The 17,115-nt window shown below is 38.2% G+C and overlaps 1 protein-coding gene, 1 long non-coding RNA gene and 1 other non-coding gene across 17 annotated transcripts in view, besides 1 other annotated feature; 2 read left to right on the top strand and 1 right to left on the bottom strand.

Moving 5' to 3' along the window:
* The window catches only part of LOC105374216 (uncharacterized), a 59,021-nt gene extending 43,340 nt beyond the window's left edge, over positions 1-15,681 (bottom strand). Inside the window, exons 1-5 of one of the 8 annotated variants that reach the window (XR_007096164.1) lie at positions 15,538-15,654; positions 10,448-10,629; positions 9,907-9,985; positions 9,186-9,304; positions 8,654-8,842 (exon numbers count right to left, since the gene is read on the bottom strand). This is a non-coding gene — a long non-coding RNA (uncharacterized LOC105374216). The other 7 variants (XR_007096160.1, XR_007096162.1, XR_007096166.1 and 4 more) reach the window with 7 other exon arrangements.
* The window catches only part of TNIK (TRAF2 and NCK interacting kinase), a 401,995-nt gene that overhangs the window by 342,586 nt on the left and 42,294 nt on the right, over positions 1-17,115 (top strand). For 4 of the 8 annotated variants that reach the window (NM_001161565.3, NM_001161561.3, NM_001161563.3 and 1 more), the window contains 4 exons: positions 6,946-7,109; positions 9,661-9,758; positions 10,617-10,640; positions 16,190-16,374. In NM_001161565.3, coding sequence (NP_001155037.1) covers positions 6,946-7,109; positions 9,661-9,758; positions 10,617-10,640; positions 16,190-16,374 — 471 coding nt within the window. The remainder of the gene's footprint in view (positions 1-6,945; positions 7,110-9,660; positions 9,759-10,616; positions 10,641-16,189; positions 16,375-17,115) is intronic. The other 4 variants (NM_001161566.3, NM_001161562.3, NM_001161564.3 and 1 more) reach the window with 1 other exon arrangement.
* Positions 472-1,140: an enhancer, noted in NCBI's record as "OCT4-NANOG hESC enhancer chr3:170834472-170835140 (GRCh37/hg19 assembly coordinates)". NCBI's record gives its function as "activates a minimal SCP1, AML or CMV promoter by ChIP-STARR-seq in primed H9 embryonic stem cells {active_cell/tissue: H9 hESC(primed)}" and the evidence as "EXISTENCE:reporter gene assay evidence [ECO:0000049][PMID:30033119]".
* MIR569 (microRNA 569) lies at positions 11,064-11,159 on the top strand. The gene has a single exon (NR_030295.1). It is a non-coding gene; the product is annotated as a microRNA 569 (primary transcript).

Below are 17,115 nucleotides of genomic sequence, written 5' to 3'. Positions count from 1 at the left end.
AATTTTTTGTATTTTTAGTAGAGACGGGGTTTCACCCTGTTAGCCAGGATGATCTCGATCTCCTGACCTCGTGATCCACCTGTCTCGGCCTCCCAAAGTGCTGGGATTACAGGTGTGAGCCACCGCGCCCGGCCAGAGAACATATTTTTAACTATATACATTATTGAGCAGGTACAGCTATGCAGGCATCAGTTGGTCAAAAAAGTGTTATTGGGCAATGCCTGCAGTTCCTTGCCTTTTGCCTGATTCAGGGCAATTTATTATTTATTTCTGTATTTAATGAACATCTCTGGAGCACACATACACATATGTCTCATATATATGTATTTACTAATTTAAGCAGTGTAACAACTCTGTGAGGTGTTGACTGTAATCACCACCATTTTACAGAAGGAGAAATTGAAATTAACATGTGTCCAAGGTGACAAAAGTAGTAAGTGGTAGAGCCAAGATTTGAGCTCTGATAACCTTGCACCAAAGTCTACATTCTTAAGCACCATTCTGTGCTAATTTGTTTAGCATGGGTGCAGCTTGCTTTGCTGCCTCATTTTTTCCCAAGGCAAAAGAGCCCTTGATTTCTTGACTGACACAGCACCATTTTGTCCCCACCTTTCTCACCATGTGCTTCAGTGAGTCTGTTAACAGCTCCTCTTGATCCTATTGTTATTTACCCTTATGTTGCGATATTTACTACCTTTTCGAAGTTGTTGTCTCATGAGACCCATTTATATTGCAAACACTTCCCTTCTGGAGCTAGAACTAGTGTCATCACATGCTTTTTATAGTTCCCTTCCTAGATGGCTAAAGTCTGGGAGATAGCACAGTCATCCTGACCCCATGCAACTGTTCCTTGTCCTTCCTTCTCATGCATATGTAGCTGGGAATTGCTCAGACTGCAATATCAATAGGCAATTCTCACCTGCTATGTAAACTCCTAAATGCCTCATGCTGTGAAGGTGATCAGTTAAGTTCAAATCAAAATTTGATTGGACCATTTTAAAATACTGTTTTTAAAAATCAGGTACTTTCATACTTAACATTGATGTATGTATTCTTTCTAAAGCAAATTAAAATTTGATCAAACAATTACATTCTGAATAAGATTCAAATTAAGTCAGAAATACCCAGTCAAACCCAATGACTAAATGATTAATTTCAAAAAATAATTCTCTGTCCCATCCCAAACCTATTTTCTTATGACTCATTTCTTCTCATTGGCTGTGTCATCAAAGAACAAAGTAAAGTGAAATTTGGCAGTTGGCCAGTTAATTAAAGACTTGGCCCAAGTATTTGGGCCACAAAATTACTTTGTAATCCCAATTTTCTGTTTTGACTTTTTATGATTCAAATGAATGGAATAATTGCCACATTTTCACTTTACTGTGAGTTTTATAGACCTAGCAGCATTATCTGCAGGATGGCAAATGTCTGAACTAAAAGTTAGCATTTAAAGAAATCCATTTGGATGTTTTCAGGTTTTTACACATTCGGATCTGAATAGGCTCAGTTAAGATGTGAACAAGGGATATCTATTATTTCATGGGATTCTTCTGAAATTGATCCTCTTAAGAGCATTCATCTCAGACCCCACAGCCCCAAGGCCAGATCATTTAATACATAATGAAGGAGAGAAAAATGTGAACAGCATGACATTTTCTCAAACTACTCATGTTTTACCAAAAGAAAAGGTAGAAAAGGCATTGTAAAGTTTTCCCTATTTCTATGTGTGGTAACATAGAGACTAAATACTTCTTTCAGTCTCCAGCAGCAAAAATAGCAACCTATTAAGATCAGCACCCACACTGGTTAGCTCTGGTGAGGAGAACTTGTACTAATGAGGCCCTGGTCAGGGATTTAATGCCCATGGGATCCAATTAGCTTCACACAGGATGAGACTCTGAGCCCAGTCAGGATGTAGGCTCATCCCAGCTGCTTCTGCTAATGCCCATGCTCTTTTTCACACAGGACATCACTGCCCAGGCCTCATCATCTGACTTGGCAGCAGCCTCCTAACTAGTCTGCCTGCCTCTCTCCTGGTCAGTCGTTCACGTGTACTGTGGGAGGTACACATTCTCCTCTAGGCTTTAAAGGCCATGGTTATACAACTCACCCTTTTCTTCTGATCACTCCACTCTCCCAGTGTTTCCTAATACAGATTTGGTACTTGATTTGGCCAGTGTCATCTCTGCACCCACATGCATCAGGAAAAACAACCCAGCCCTATGTCTGCTCCGACTGTTCCCCAGCCTTCCTGCTACAACACCCAGTCAAGTTCTTGCTCCTTCATAACACTGCCATCAACCATACCAGTCTGCACTAATGGTTCCCCAAACTCCAACAATACTTAGTCTCTTTCATACACAACATACAGTTTTGCCATGCTCCCTATTGTCCCCTCTGCATAAGTCTCATCTCCATGATTGTGTTGTAACTTGACTGTATGCCCTGTGGCTTGTGCTTCTCCTCCATCCCTAATCCTGGTCCGGTAAGTTTCACAAAGTTGGTGCTTAACACAAAGGTTTTGGCTAAATAATCAAAGGAGTGCTACATTAGAACAAGTAGCTCTATCCTGCTACCACACCACAACCACCAGGGAAGAAAACTCAGAGCATTTATCACCAGCTACCCTCCTCTCAAGAGATTTTTTATTTATTTTTTTGTAATACAAAGAATACTACATTACCGTTCCACAAAATGAGAGCAACTCCAAGAAACCTTAACATGCTCATCATTCTTAAATCTGTAATACAGTTGGTGAGCAGTACATTTTTTAGAGCAAGTTTTTTTGGAATTATTTAATTATGCATAATAATTTTTGACCACTATTGTTTAATAAAACAGGGCAGTGTGGAAGAATTCGCTATTTGGGAATTAAAAGAGATTATTTATTTTAAAAAATGAAAAATTTGAAATGTAGATTATTTCAGAGCTATTACACATTTATCATTTTAGACATTTTCTAAATGAAGGGTATTTCCAGTATGGATCCAAATCTATTTTAGTCAATTTGATATGAACAATTGTCATAAAAATAGTTACTTCACAAAGGAATGCCATTATTGGAAGTTTTTCTTAAGTTTACCAATGATCACTCTGCAACTGATTTTACTGTTAAGTTGACTTAGCAACCCTTTTACCACAAAAGTTTCAAAGATAATATGATTAGGGTCTACATTTATATGATCATATTAATGAATCATGAGAACATATTTATTTGTACATACGTTTTTCACTGCATTTTTCCACAGTCATGGTCTATTTCTACTCAATCAAATGTTTTTGACAGATACATTACCACAAAGCAAGATTCTTGAGTTTTCAGAAAGAAATTAGTTGGTTTAATTGCTGCTTATAAAGTTGCCATTGTGACTGGGTTACTGGTAGACTAAACTAAAAGTATCTCAAAGGAAGGGGTCATATCCAAATTTATGGGAGAAACATCTAACATCCAACACAGTACAGAGTGCCTGATACATACTTGGTACTCTTAAACTGGGCAGAGCAAAGTTAAAGCATAAAATTACATTTTAATATAATATCTCACGGCATTAAAATCATAGCTGTATGATAACTGTTAACAAAGTCTGTTTGGGGAACTGAAGATGTTAGGAACAGAGAGGAAGCTGACATCAGATGTTTCTCTTCTCAGCATCTGGAAGGCGATAGATTTGAGCTCTGAGTTTCAGGTCTCCCTAAATTATCCATGCCCAGCATTGTGTAAATCTAACAGAAAAATAAAATAAAAAAAAGCCTATGAGTTATAAATTTCAAAGAAAGAGCTTTATAGAAGCCTTGAGAATGCTGCTTTTTTTTTTTTTTTTTTTAACAAAATCGTAAAATCCTCAGCAGCTGCCTCCCAGCACCACTGCTTAGATGTCTCCTGTTTGGGTACAGCTCCCCTGATGGCCAAAATTGGCCTAGGTGGTCCTGCCTCATGCTTCCATATGGCTCTGTGCTCAACGCAGGCAAAGCATGTTGAAATGGGCTGTGTATATCCAGCTAAGCTCACAGAGGGCACAGGCTGTGTCCCGTTCATTATCATATCTCAAATGCTTGACCCAGTGCCTGGTATAGAATAACTGAGTGAATGAATACTGCTTTTTTTGGTGGGAATAAATATATGAAGACAAATACAGTAATATATATATATATTTTTAATGGGAGTAGTAGCCTACCAACAAATTTGGTCTTGAATTTGCTTTTTTTTTTTTTCGAGACAGACAGAGTCTCGCTCTGTCTCCCAGGCTAGAGTGCAGTAGCGCGATCTCCGCTCACTGCAAGCTCTGCCTCCTGGATTCACGCCATTCTCCTGCCTCAGCCTCTCAACTAGCTGAGAATACAGGCACCTGCCACCACGCCCAGCTAATTTTTTTGTATTTTTAGTAGAGATGGGGTTTCACTGTGTTAGCCAGGATGGTCTCGATCTCCTGACCTCGTGATCTGCCTGCCTTGGCCTCCCAAAGTGATGGGATTACAGGCGTGAGCCACCGTGCCTGGCCGAATTAGCATTTTATAATAATTATCCAAAAATCGTCTACCCGTCGGTAATAGCCTAAGCATATAAAGACTTCCTGCAAGAAGATAATAAAAAAAAATACAAAGACTCCACAAGCTACATGAACAAAGGATTTAATTAAGCAATTCACAGAAGAGAAATTACAAATGGCAAACAAATATGAATAAAAATTCTTCTACCTCAGTAGTCACTTTTTAAAACTGTACCTAAATAATGAGATACAATTTAGTATAAAACCTTGTATGGAGTGAAATGGACCATCACATTTACTTCAGTGAAAATCTGTCATACCTTTATACACTCATACATATGCACACACACATGCACACACCCCAAACTTAGGCCTTTTCACCCAAGAATTCTAATCTCAGGAAATAGAAATGTGATTGGCTATTTGTGTACAGGGAGATTATTGTTTCACTGTTATGTGTCACAGCAATGTATTGGAAGCACCTTAATATTTAACAGCAGAGAAATGGTCAAGTAACTCATCTATATAATAGACAATTAATGAAGCTATTACACAGCATAAGAATATGCTCACAATGCAGTTAAGGGAAAAAAGCAAGATGCAAAACTGAATATACACTATGCTTCCATATATAAAAAGGAAAAAAAAAACTGAATATGCAGTATGCTTCTATAGATAGATACAAAAGAAAAAAACCCCAGCAACTCTCATTCTATTGTTTCTGTGAGTTTGATGTTTGTAGATTCCACGCATAAGTGAGATCATGTACAATAGTAAAATATAGTTGAGTATCTCCTGGTGCAGAGATTATGTGTGTTCCTTCCTTATTTTTTCCCTTTTAATATTTTTCAAGACTTTTTACAATGAGCACAGAAAAAAATGTTTGTAAGAAAGCTTTCTTTGAAGATTCACCATCCAGAGCTAGTATTTTCAATGTGATGAACAAGAGTTCATCCTGTACACATCCAGTAGCTGGTCAGGAACTCTACAGAGGAAGGCATGACTGTCATCTTCTGTTGACCCCTTCCTCTCAAGGTCTTGTAAGTGCTCTTTTTACTTCCTTGCACTGGGGACGGGACTATGCTTGTGTCTACCAATGGCAAGATTTTGTCCCCCCTAGCTTTACTGAGGTATGATTGACAAATAAAAAGTATATCTATTTACAGTGTATAACATGATGTTTTGATATATGTATACACTGTGAAATGATTACTAAAATCAAGTTAATCAATATATCCATCACCTCACATAGTTATCATTTTTTTCTGATGACATTTAAGATCTACTATCTTCGCAATTTTCAAGTATACCTCGTTATGATCTGTACTCACCATGGTGTACAGTAGATTTCCAAAAGTTACTCATGCTGTCCAAGTGAAACTGTAACCTTTGACCAACATCTTCCCATTCTCTCTCCTTCCTAGATCCCCTGGCAACTATCATTCTACTCTCTGTTTCTATGAGTTCGGTATTTGTAGATTCCACCTATAAGTGAGATCATGTAGTATTTGTCTTTTTGAGAGAGAGATATATCACATTTTCTTTATCCATTCATTCTTCAGTGGACACACACTTAGGTTGATTCCATATTGTGGCTACTGTGAATAGTGCTGCACTGAGCATGGGAGTACAGCTACCTCTTCAATGTACTGATTTCATTTCCTTTGGATATATATCCAGAAGTGGAATCTCTGGATCCTATGATAATTCTATTTTTAGTCTTTTGCGGAACCTTCATACTGTTTTCCGTACTGGCTGTACTATTTTACATTCTCACCAACAGGGTACAAGGGTTCCCTCTTCTCTGCATCCTCACCAACACTCATTATCTTTTGTCTTTTGAAAACAGCCATTCTAATAGGTATGAGGTCATATCTCATTGTGGTTTGGTGGGGTTTTTAAATTTATGTTTTTATTTTTTGAGACATGGTCTCACTCTGTTGCCCAGGCTGGAGTGCAGTGGCGTGATCATGGCTCACTGAAGCCTTGACCTCCTGGGGTCAAGTGACCCTCCCACCTCAGCCTCTCATGTAAGTGGGAGGACAGGCACATGCCACTATGCCCAGCTAATTTTTTTGTGGAGATGGGATCTCACTATGTTGCCCAGGCTGGTCTTGAACTCCTGGCCTCAAGTGATCCTCCCACCTGAGCCTTCCAAAGTGCTGGGGTTATAGGTGACAGCCACTGTGCCTGGCTCATTGTGGTTTTAATTTGCATTTCCCTGATGATTAGTGATGCTGATCATTTTTTTCATATTCCTATTGGCTATCTGCATGTCTCCTTTTAAGAAATGTCTATTCAGGTCCTTTCCCCATTTTTAATTGGGTTATTCGTTTTCTTGCTATTGAGCTGTTTTGAGTTCCTTACATATTTTGGGTATTAAACCTTATCAGATATGTGATCTGCAAAACTGGCAAGGTCTGGAGAGTGTAACCAGTGTGCTCTGTCACTCACACAGCAACCCTGATCTCCGGAGAACTGAGCCCATCTTGGAGAGCCCCTTGCAGAGGACCAGCAGTGGCAGTTCCTCCAGCTCCAGCACCCCTAGCTCCCAGCCCAGCTCCCAAGGAGGCTCCCAGCCTGGATCACAAGCAGGATCCAGTGAACGCACCAGAGTTCGAGGTAAAACTTTCTCTTACCTTTACCTGGCAATACTGCCTGGGAGGAAAGCTGTGGACAGGGAAAAAGGTTAGTTACTTCCTGACTCTAGTCCAGGCATGGCCACCACTGTGTGATCCTGAAGAGCCTGTCAACTGCTCTCAACCCCAGTCTCCTCGGGAGTGGGCCACTGTCCCTAATTGTGTGTGTGCCATCAGTATGGACAAAATCCTTTCTAATCTCAGATACCAGTGTTTTCCAGGGAGATCACCAAATATCAGTCTTATTTGAAAATACAGTCACTTACCAGTCACCTGAATTTCTGTTTCTGTTTGATTGCCGGTTTTTAGAGTTTCATGTACCCACAAATGTCCTGAACGCATTGCACCAATTGTCCTGTTTAGTATTCTGAACATAGTTCATATACACAGTTCAGAATACCATGTATTTCTCAAAATGAAATTCAGTAAAGACTAATGTAGAATACACTTGAAGGAAGGAATAAAATCTTTGACTTAAAAAGCATATTTAGGCCGAGTGTGGTGGCTCACGCCTGTAATCCCAGCACTTAGGGAGGCCAAGGCAGGCAGATCACCTAAGGTCGGGAGTTCCAAGATCAGCCTGACTAACATGGAGAAACCCCATCGCTACTAAAAATACAAAAAATTAGCCTGGCGTGGTGGTGCATGCCTGTAATCCCAGCTACTCGGGAGGCTGAGGCAGGAGAATCGCTTGAACCCAGGAGGCAGAGGTTGTGGTGAGCCAAGATCACGCCATTGTACTCCAGCCTTGGCAACAAGAATGAAACTCCATCAAAAAAAAAAAAAATTGTTGACTCCTCTGGTTATTCCTATTAAGTAAAAATTAGCCTCTCTAAATATTTAATTCAAATTATTCATCATTGTTTAGTTTCCAGTAATGGGGAGGCCTATGAAAAACATTATTATTTCCAGGTGCTGATACATAATAATACATTGTTTCTAGCTAGTTAAAATTCACTCCTTCTGAATCAACTTCTTCAGAAGATAATTTTGCTTCTAAGTGATGAAGACCAGTACTTTAATTGCAATTTGACAAATATTAACATACTTATAAGTTTCTCTGTCTGATGAAAGCCTCATGAGAACCTTCAGTTCTTTTTTCTTTCTTAGACTCTTTATTACATACCACCTCCTAATACCCTTAGTTTATCTCCTAACACCCTTTCAGGGTTTTAAATAAATCACTCTATTTCCATTTTAAAAAGCTTGATATCTAACATGTGATTGATGTTCACGTCTCTGGATTGGGATATGGACTAGCCAACAGCTGCCTCTATATGCATTCTTCTGATTAGTGGCACATCTCAGAAGTATCTACTGTATGTCTTTGTTGCCTTGATCGAAATATAAATTTCCTTAATTTAGAAAACTACCAGATGTAGTGGCTTACGCCTGTAGTCCTAGGTACCCGGAAGGCCGAGGTAGAAGAATTGCTTAAGCTCAGGAGTTCAAGGCTGCAGTGAGCTATGATGGCCCCACTGCGCTCCAGCCTAGGTGACAGAGCCCCATCTCTAAAACACCTAAAGAAAGAAAACAGCCATTCTGTTATCTTTTTTCTATTTATAGGCAACTTCATATTCTTAGAGCAAATATTTAAATAAACCAAACTTAAACGCATACCATTTTAATTCTCTGGTCTGGTTCAGGCTTACTTTTTATTTCCTTCAGCCCCTCGTTCTTCCGGATTAAAAGGGCTGTTGTATCCCTGGTATGTCCCTGTCCAAGAAAGACTACTTTTTAAGAAATAAAAACCACCTCTCCTACCCTAAATTGCATCTTCTCTATCTGTAAGCTCATAGACTGCAAAGATGCTATTCACTCTGCAGCTGTCAGGGTCCCCTTGACCTTGCTCTGTACCTCCAGCCTAGGGCCCTTCTCCTATAACAACCCCCTTCTTGCCCTCACCTCATTCTTTTATTTTTAAAGGGCTGAGACCACTCCCATCTCCAATTAAAAACCGTTCCACCAAATAAAATAAATTTTTTTTCCCTCACAAAATTTCAACAAAATAACCTATCCTGATTGGACAAATGATAAAAGAAGAAAACAAGCATAGAACCTTAGAGGCTCATTTAGCATAGTGACTGAGAATAGGACTTTCAGAAATCAGAACTCCAGCTCTGTCTATAATTTCAGTGTGACCTCCGGACAGTTGTGTCATCTTTGTAAATCTGTGTTCTGTAAAATAGGAGAATAGTGCCATATCATTGGGTTGGAGTGAGGATTAAATGAGATAATTGACATGGAAAGCATTTAGCACTATGCCTGACACATAAGAAGTGCTCTAGTGGTGATAGTACTTGCTACATTTCTTTTTTTTTTAATTGTTACTAGTGATTTCCAGGTCACAAGCCTAAATGTGTTTGCCTGAACATTATATTTTTCATGGATGTTTCTTGAGGATTTGCCCAGGTGAATGACGTGTCCACTGAGTAATCTCAATGTGATGACACATCACAGATAATTCATTCAGAACTTGAGCCAGCACTTTTTGATGGCCATCTCTTTCTTGGTCCTCTGTTTTTTTCCTCTAGCCAACAGTAAGTCAGAAGGATCACCTGTGCTCCCCCATGAGCCTGCGAAGGTGAAACCAGAAGAATCCAGGGACATTACCCGGCCCAGTCGACCAGCTGTGAGTGCTTTTCTCTCCAAGAGTTTTGAACTCTTAATTTACCAGAGAACCCACAGGATTAAGTAGTTGGGGATACACTCATGATGCAAACAAAAATTGTTGAGATTAGTAAGAACGGATGCTAGAAACATCCCGAAGAAAGTCATACCTGATTAGGAAAGAACCGAAGAGATCTTGGATTGACTCCTCTGCCTTTGGCTATTTGCTGATCATTAGCAGTCCTTTAACTATAAAACAGGAAGAGAAACAACTCCTATCATTCCATAATTTCTACTCAGCAACTTTGGCAAAAAGATGTTGAAAGTAGCAGTTAAAGAGACTTGGGTACTTTCTATGAACTTCTCTAATCTCTTCTACTCTTTCCCCATATTATTTTCCACATGAATTAATATTACAGTTTTTCTGCTATTTTTCATGCCTCCAGGACTATATTTTCTGGACCAAACTTTTTAAGCAGGGTCCAACAGGCGTCGTAACAACTTAGCATCCAGCTTCACTGCTGTAACATGATAGACCCCCAGGTAGCCTTAAAGAGGAGTATGGAGGCTAAAATTTGAAAGTTGAAAATTAATTTGGGATGAATTACTATCCATTTTTTCTATTTAAATCTCTTGAGAATCTTTTCTGTAAAATGAACGTGAAGCTTTTTGGTTTACTCTTTTTTAACATCTTAAAGTAACGACGTATACCGAGAGTAATAATGAAGGGATTTGCATCATTCTGGATTGACATTCTCTTCGCCCTTTTGTATTTATCAGTTGCGTACTAACAATTACAATTTTGTGTCTAATCTGCTGCCTTTCTGCTGGCTTTTCCTCCTTCTGTGGATTCTTCTGGATTGGGTTCCTCTCATTTCAGAGCTACAAAAAAGCTATAGATGAGGTTAGTATTACCTTTTCTTGGTCATGCTTTCACAAAATGTAAATATTAAACTTATTTCCTAATGTTGACATTCAGAAAGGTGGCCAATGGGAGCAATCAGCTGGGAGGAGATTTGTAGCAATCTGCTGGGAGGAGTGCCCCTTCAAATGGAAGCCAACTTTAAGACCCTCAAACCTACCCATATAGCTTCAGAGACCTTCCTTCTAAGCTAAAATGTCACTTTTCCAATGTTCCAGTCTGGCTAATGACAAGTATTCATGCTTTATTAATGGCAGTTTCTCCTTCCAGTATCTTCCAATAGCAAACCTGTACTTGCCAGCCTTGCTAGGGAATGGCTCTCAGCAGTTTTACTAACAAGAAAAGAGACATCATTCTAGGACACTCCAAATTTAGAGTGTGTGATTTGTGAACAAGGAGTTAGTAGGTATTGTTAGATTAATTTTGTGGGACATTAACAACAGCATCAGAAGCAACATCAGCTTTAGTTAATGAATCCTGGAAAGTTAAGTGACTTTATTTCCTTGTCTGTGGAGACGTTTTCCATTAGAAAAATATATGGCTTTGTCAGTTGTAGGTAGCTTGCTAAGAAGGATGACTGCCTTACTGCTATTTGTCAGACCTGCATGAATACAGCAGAGTAGAATTTGTTTTTTTAAGATCCAGGCCTTGCAAAGAGTCCTAAATGCATGGAATCTAAAGACTACCATCATGGCTTTAAAGCTGTAGCTCTGCTGAGCACTACTTTTGTGAAATTTAATGGAAAAAGCACTGGCTTTGAGGTCAGCAAGCTGCATTCAAATCTTGGCTCCCCCAGTAAATAACTGGCTGAGACTAGTCTCATAACCTCACTGGGCCAGAGTTTCCTCATCCATAAAATGAGAATAAAAACACCTCCCCATCCCACTTACAAGATTGTTTAGGATCATTTAAGGTAATGTGTGTGAAAGCATTTTATGTGTAACATTGCTGCAGAAAGCCAAGGGTTTGATTAAGGTTTGGGCCAGAGGCATGGAGCTATTTTGGCAGGTAGGAGAAGCATGTTTCCATGTATCTGGTCTTCACCGAAGAGCCTCACTTTTTCAGACTTATGGCCACCTCACCACCCAGAGTGACGAGACAGTTATGATCATAGTTGAAGGATTGTTGCTTATAAAAGAATGAGACTCCGCATGTTTGCGGTGTGTGGATGGCATTTATAGAAAGGGAAGAGGAGAGTGTGTTTTTAATTGCTCTGTGCCGTGGCCTTGCTTGCCCCTCTCTCTCATAATAGTGAGAAGGGCAGGGATTATCACAACTTTTGTCAGTTTTCTCCCAGAACAGGTAAAGAAAGACAGTGAAGTTCTGGTGCTACAGTTGCCAATAAAATGGCTGTGCATGTGCAGAACTCAAGAGGAATTACATGAGTTCAGAAATTGGCTTGGAGGGGCCGTCATTAAGGAAAAGGCTCTCACAGATTTCATCTGATTAACCCAGAATATTTTAGGCTTTGAAAAATTGCTCTACTTTTTTTTGGTGTACTGCACCACACTGGACAGAGATGAGAGGGGGCAATGGAGGTATACGTAATTACAAATAATTGAGGGGGTGTGAGCTGCATACTAAAATCTCTGGAGCCATGTATGGTTGGAAAAGCCCTCCAGGTGACTATCCTGATCTCTTGAGTATCACTGATCCAAACCACTAAAATAAAGCGGTTCTACCTAACCCAGTGGCTCTCAACCACGGCTGATTCCTCCACTCCTCTTCCCTTAGGAGACATTTGGCAAAATCTGGAGACAGTTTTGGTTGTCACCACTTCAGAGTAGCAGGCAGTGGTACTGGCATCTTGTGGATAGAGCAGAGGGGTGCTGCTGCCAAACATCCCGTGGTGCACAGAGAACTCCCTACAATAAAGAATTATCTGGCCCAAAATGTCAACAGGGCCATAATTGAGAAACTTTGAACTACACCTTTCTCCCTTCTCCATTCATAGGTTTTGGTAGGGCTTCCCTCTCAACGACTGTTTTTGCAATTTAGATAACTGGGATTGAAATGAAAAATCTGAAAATCACTTTTGAAATATTGTCGCTTGTTATTGCTAATGATTTAACTTTTTATAAAAATTAATTTGGGGGAGTGTACATTAATGTGACATTGCTTTCTAATGGAATATGAGATTTTGCAGCATAGTCTATTTAATATAGTCTTTGAATATAGTCTTTGAAAATAAATGGGTTTTCTCTGTTGGCACAATTAAATATGTGACACAAAGATTATACACGTAAGAAAACACTGTTTTTACCGCTGTTTTTTATTAGTATGTGGGCATCAAAAATTTCAAAGCACATCAATTTAGATTGGATGGAAGGTGAACAATAACTAGGGGTTCAACCCCCTTTTCCCTCAGATGAGGATATTGAAACTAAGTGGCTTGCCCAATGTCATATCTTTAGAGTTCCTAAAAAGAAAATAGTTTAATACAAAGAGAAAAAAAAGCTAAAAATTTTTAAACAATAGTTCAAAAATTGAACTAATATTTATTTGAATAAACTATATTGTTTCTAAAAAGGGACCTAAAAGAGCGCCTTTTTAGTCAAGATGTGCATAATAGTTAACCTTTGTTGAATGAAAAATTATATCTAGTTGATTCTAAAAACTGTTAAGCCTCGTAGCTATCTTCACATTTACTCTGTAGTCAAAAAATCTTACCATCTTGCCATATTTCTTTTTTAGCTATATATTCTCAAATATTTTCATGCTAAATAGCACTTATTTTGTTTTTTAAATACTTTTTAGCTCCAGGCTTGTGACAGCCAAGTAATAAATTACCAAGAAGGCTCATTATATGGAGAAAATTTGTATTGTCAAAGAATAAAATATATGAAAATAGAATTGAACCCAATGGTGTTAATATTAGATTGTGTTTATTTCCTATAACTTTGCTATTATAAATTTTTCAATACTGGACGGATAAGAAACAAAACTTCAGCTAAACACATAGGTTCTTAGCAATGGAAGATTAATTTTCTTTGACTACAGGTATTACTTTGGAATTATTCATTATTTTTACCTTTTCATAGGGATTCTGGTATATGTCTCGCCTCCAAACTGTTAATTGAAAATTTCCTTTAAGTTTAATTGTTATTTCTAATGTTTCAGGGCAGAGAGCTTTTTAGTAACACAGAAGCAAAAAATTCTAATTAAAAGCAAAATTATTAAGCAGTTCAGAACTTTAAAGTGTTTCTAAATACAATGTTTAGAAAAATGTATGTCATTTTAACAAGTGAAAGTTTTTTTAAATCAGTAGCCTGTGGACTAAATATTTCTAAAATAATTTTGATTTTTTAGAATTTCTTTTGTCTCGTTTTGAAATGTCAGAGAAAAGGAAAATAAACCTCTGGGGAAAATGTATCATTAATTAAACCATAGCCAAGAGTATTATATTTTACTCAGAATTATTAACAATAGAGATAAACTCTTTTAAACCATATTCTCTCTTTAAATTATATAAAATGTAATTCTTAATAACAAGTAACATTTTAAATGCTAGCTGTATTCTTTGATGAGACTTAACACAGTCCTAATATATAGATGTCAGAATACAAAATAAATTTATCTAATTTTTCATTATTTCACTGGTTTGGAGGATGATAATATCCTTTTCTTTCATAGCCTTAACAAATATCTAGACTTTATTTTCCCATGGTACTCAAGAATAGCATACCCTTCACTTTCTTCTTCATTTGATAAAGATAAGCATTGACAATTGCCAGGAGGAAATAAGAAGTAAAAGTTGAAATTCAGATATTAGCTTTTCCTATTTTGGCTAATTGCCAAAGAAACCAGAAATTTGCATAACATTATACCTATGTTATGGTTTTCCTCTTCTTTTTATAATATGCATTACATTTAAACAGAGTTGGCCTTCTAAATACAATTCTATTTTCACTTTCACAGATGGAGCAAATACATTCACCGAGATTGAGGCATGTGCAAATGTGCAAATGTGCATGTGTGCAAAAGCCCTAGCCAAGTGTGTTTCTGTATGTAATGCAAAGGTTGAATTTTTAGCAGCTTCCATATTCTAAGGGTTTCAAATCAGGTGTCATCAAGACAAATTTAAAAGCCATTTTGCTTTCCCTTTGATTTCTATGAAATTAGAAAGAAATGACCCTTCAGTTAACACTATGAATTGCCTAAATTTCTAGACCACGTAAAACACCTAAAGTGTTTCCTTTCCTAGTGTGAACCAAAATAGTAATGCCTGACATACAGGTGGCAGTAGAGAAACAATGTTTTGTTGTATTCTCAAAATAAAATTATAATTTAACTATACACATTTATCACAGCTTTTCTTTTAACCGATTAGGATGGATTACCCAATGTCATCACCCAGGTTGCTCTAATCCTACATCAGGTGAATTGGATGCATACATTTCTGGATTGAAATAAAGAGAGAATATGGCCATAGAAAACTGTGGGATTTAGTATTTTTCAATGAGTTTCTTTCTCCCTAATCCCCTGTCTCTCACTGAATGCTCTGATTCCCACATGGGTCACTAATATAGGGAGAAATGGTAAGACTGATGTCAAATTGCTTTTTCCCCATTTGCATGCTGTGTGCCATGGGCAGTTTAACCCATGCAAATTAGAGCGGCCATGCTTTTGCAGAACTGCTTCCCTCTGCATTACTCTGAAAGCATGTAAAATAAAAGGTAGTCGGATATTCAGCACACTGCCTGCAGTATGCCTGGTGATTAAATACCACATCATCACATCCATAAGGCTAAAGGTTTCATCATACTCATGGAAAACTCAAAATTATCTCTTCCTTTTGGTATTTGCACATTCATTTTAGTGTTCTTCACCAGGATTTCTGCCAGATGACTGGAATTTAAAACAAAAGAAAATGAAACACCTATCATTTTGGAAGAGAACTCTTGTTGTTGTTGTTCCTCTTGATTAATTCAGTTCTGTGGCTGTAAATTTCAGTGGCACTAGACTTTAGGATGGGCCATGATTTGATGTGGTACCTCCATTCTCCAGGGAATGATGACACACCAAATGAGTCACTGTAGTAGCTGGAACCTTGGGAGTTGCTCTGTTCTATGGCTGACTGATGGTAAATTTCAGTACAGCAGCAATCATAAGAGGGGAAAAGCCATCACTGTGGCTTGGGCAGGAGTCCCAGAATACTGGGGCACAATTTCTAATCCCACATATTTTCCCATTAACTCTGGGGGTGACCAGCTTCACCTTTCCAAAACAAAATGAGAACCCAATGTTTGTATATATGTGTACATACACATATGTACACATATATATTCAGGACTGAACAGTCTCAGTCTAGCTATTGGTTTTGAAAAAGTTTAAATTGATTTCATCTTTCTTTTCTAGCTTCTACACGCTACAAACATCATTTTCTTAGTTCCATGCAGTAACTATGTTTGTCACAGTTCTATATAGAGCTTTTTTTTTTCTTGTTGCTTAAGCTGGAGCACTGACTTGCTGAGAGATGTAGCTTTGGTCGTATCTACCACTCATATGCTGAACAAATTTTTCTTTCATAGGATCTGACGGCATTAGCCAAAGAACTAAGAGAACTCCGGATTGAAGAAACAAACCGCCCAATGAAGAAGGTGACTGATTACTCCTCCTCCAGTGAGGAGTCAGAAAGTAGCGAGGAAGAGGAGGAAGATGGAGAGAGCGAGACCCATGATGGGACAGTGGCTGTCAGCGACATACCCAGACTGATGTAAGAGAACTACTTTTAAAGTGTAGACCGGGAGGGGACTAGGTTTCCAAAATAAAAGGACAAAAAAATATGAGTTAAATGTAAGATTGTATATGGGTCTGTGGCAAGATAAATTGACTTTCGGGACTTGGGTTTTTGTTGGAGCATAGTTCTATAATTATCTCTATCTATGGACACAATCACTTAGAATATGTAGCATTTTTGGACTGCATACACTTTACCTATCCATTGCCAATGGATTGACTATCCTTTCGGCGACTCTTTCTTGTTCTTTTCATCTTAAGGGCAAACAATATCGACAACCAGACCATTGATACGTGCCTTCCCCTCTAAAACTGAAACACTGAAATCATGGGCAATGACATTTAGGGATTAAAATTAACAACATAAAACATGTATTTCATTACCACCACTGCCACCAACAAGCAAGGAGAAATGCACAAGCCAGCATGCGTTACCATCCCAGCAAAAGAATCAGGACTCAGATAATCATGCAGAGAAAGTTCCAAAATATACCCCGTTATGATTTTCTACTTTATTCCCTTCATGGCTTCTTTTTCTGGATCCATTTTTCTGTGGTCTGTGTCTTTGCCACATACTGTCAGTCTCTTTGCAGTTCTCTTTTTATGTATTTACATGTATATTTATATGTACCTACATTTTCTTTAGTAATTGTAGCCTTTTTCTTTTTTTTTTTTTTTTCAAGGTGAGGAGAAAGTTCATTTTTTTTTTTTCTTATTG

Source organism: Homo sapiens, chromosome 3 (genome assembly GCF_000001405.40).
Source record: "Homo sapiens chromosome 3, GRCh38.p14 Primary Assembly".
NCBI classification, from domain to species: domain Eukaryota; kingdom Metazoa; phylum Chordata; class Mammalia; order Primates; family Hominidae; genus Homo; species Homo sapiens.
Note: the sequence above shows the minus strand (reverse complement) of the source record. Positions and strands in the feature narration are given on the sequence as shown.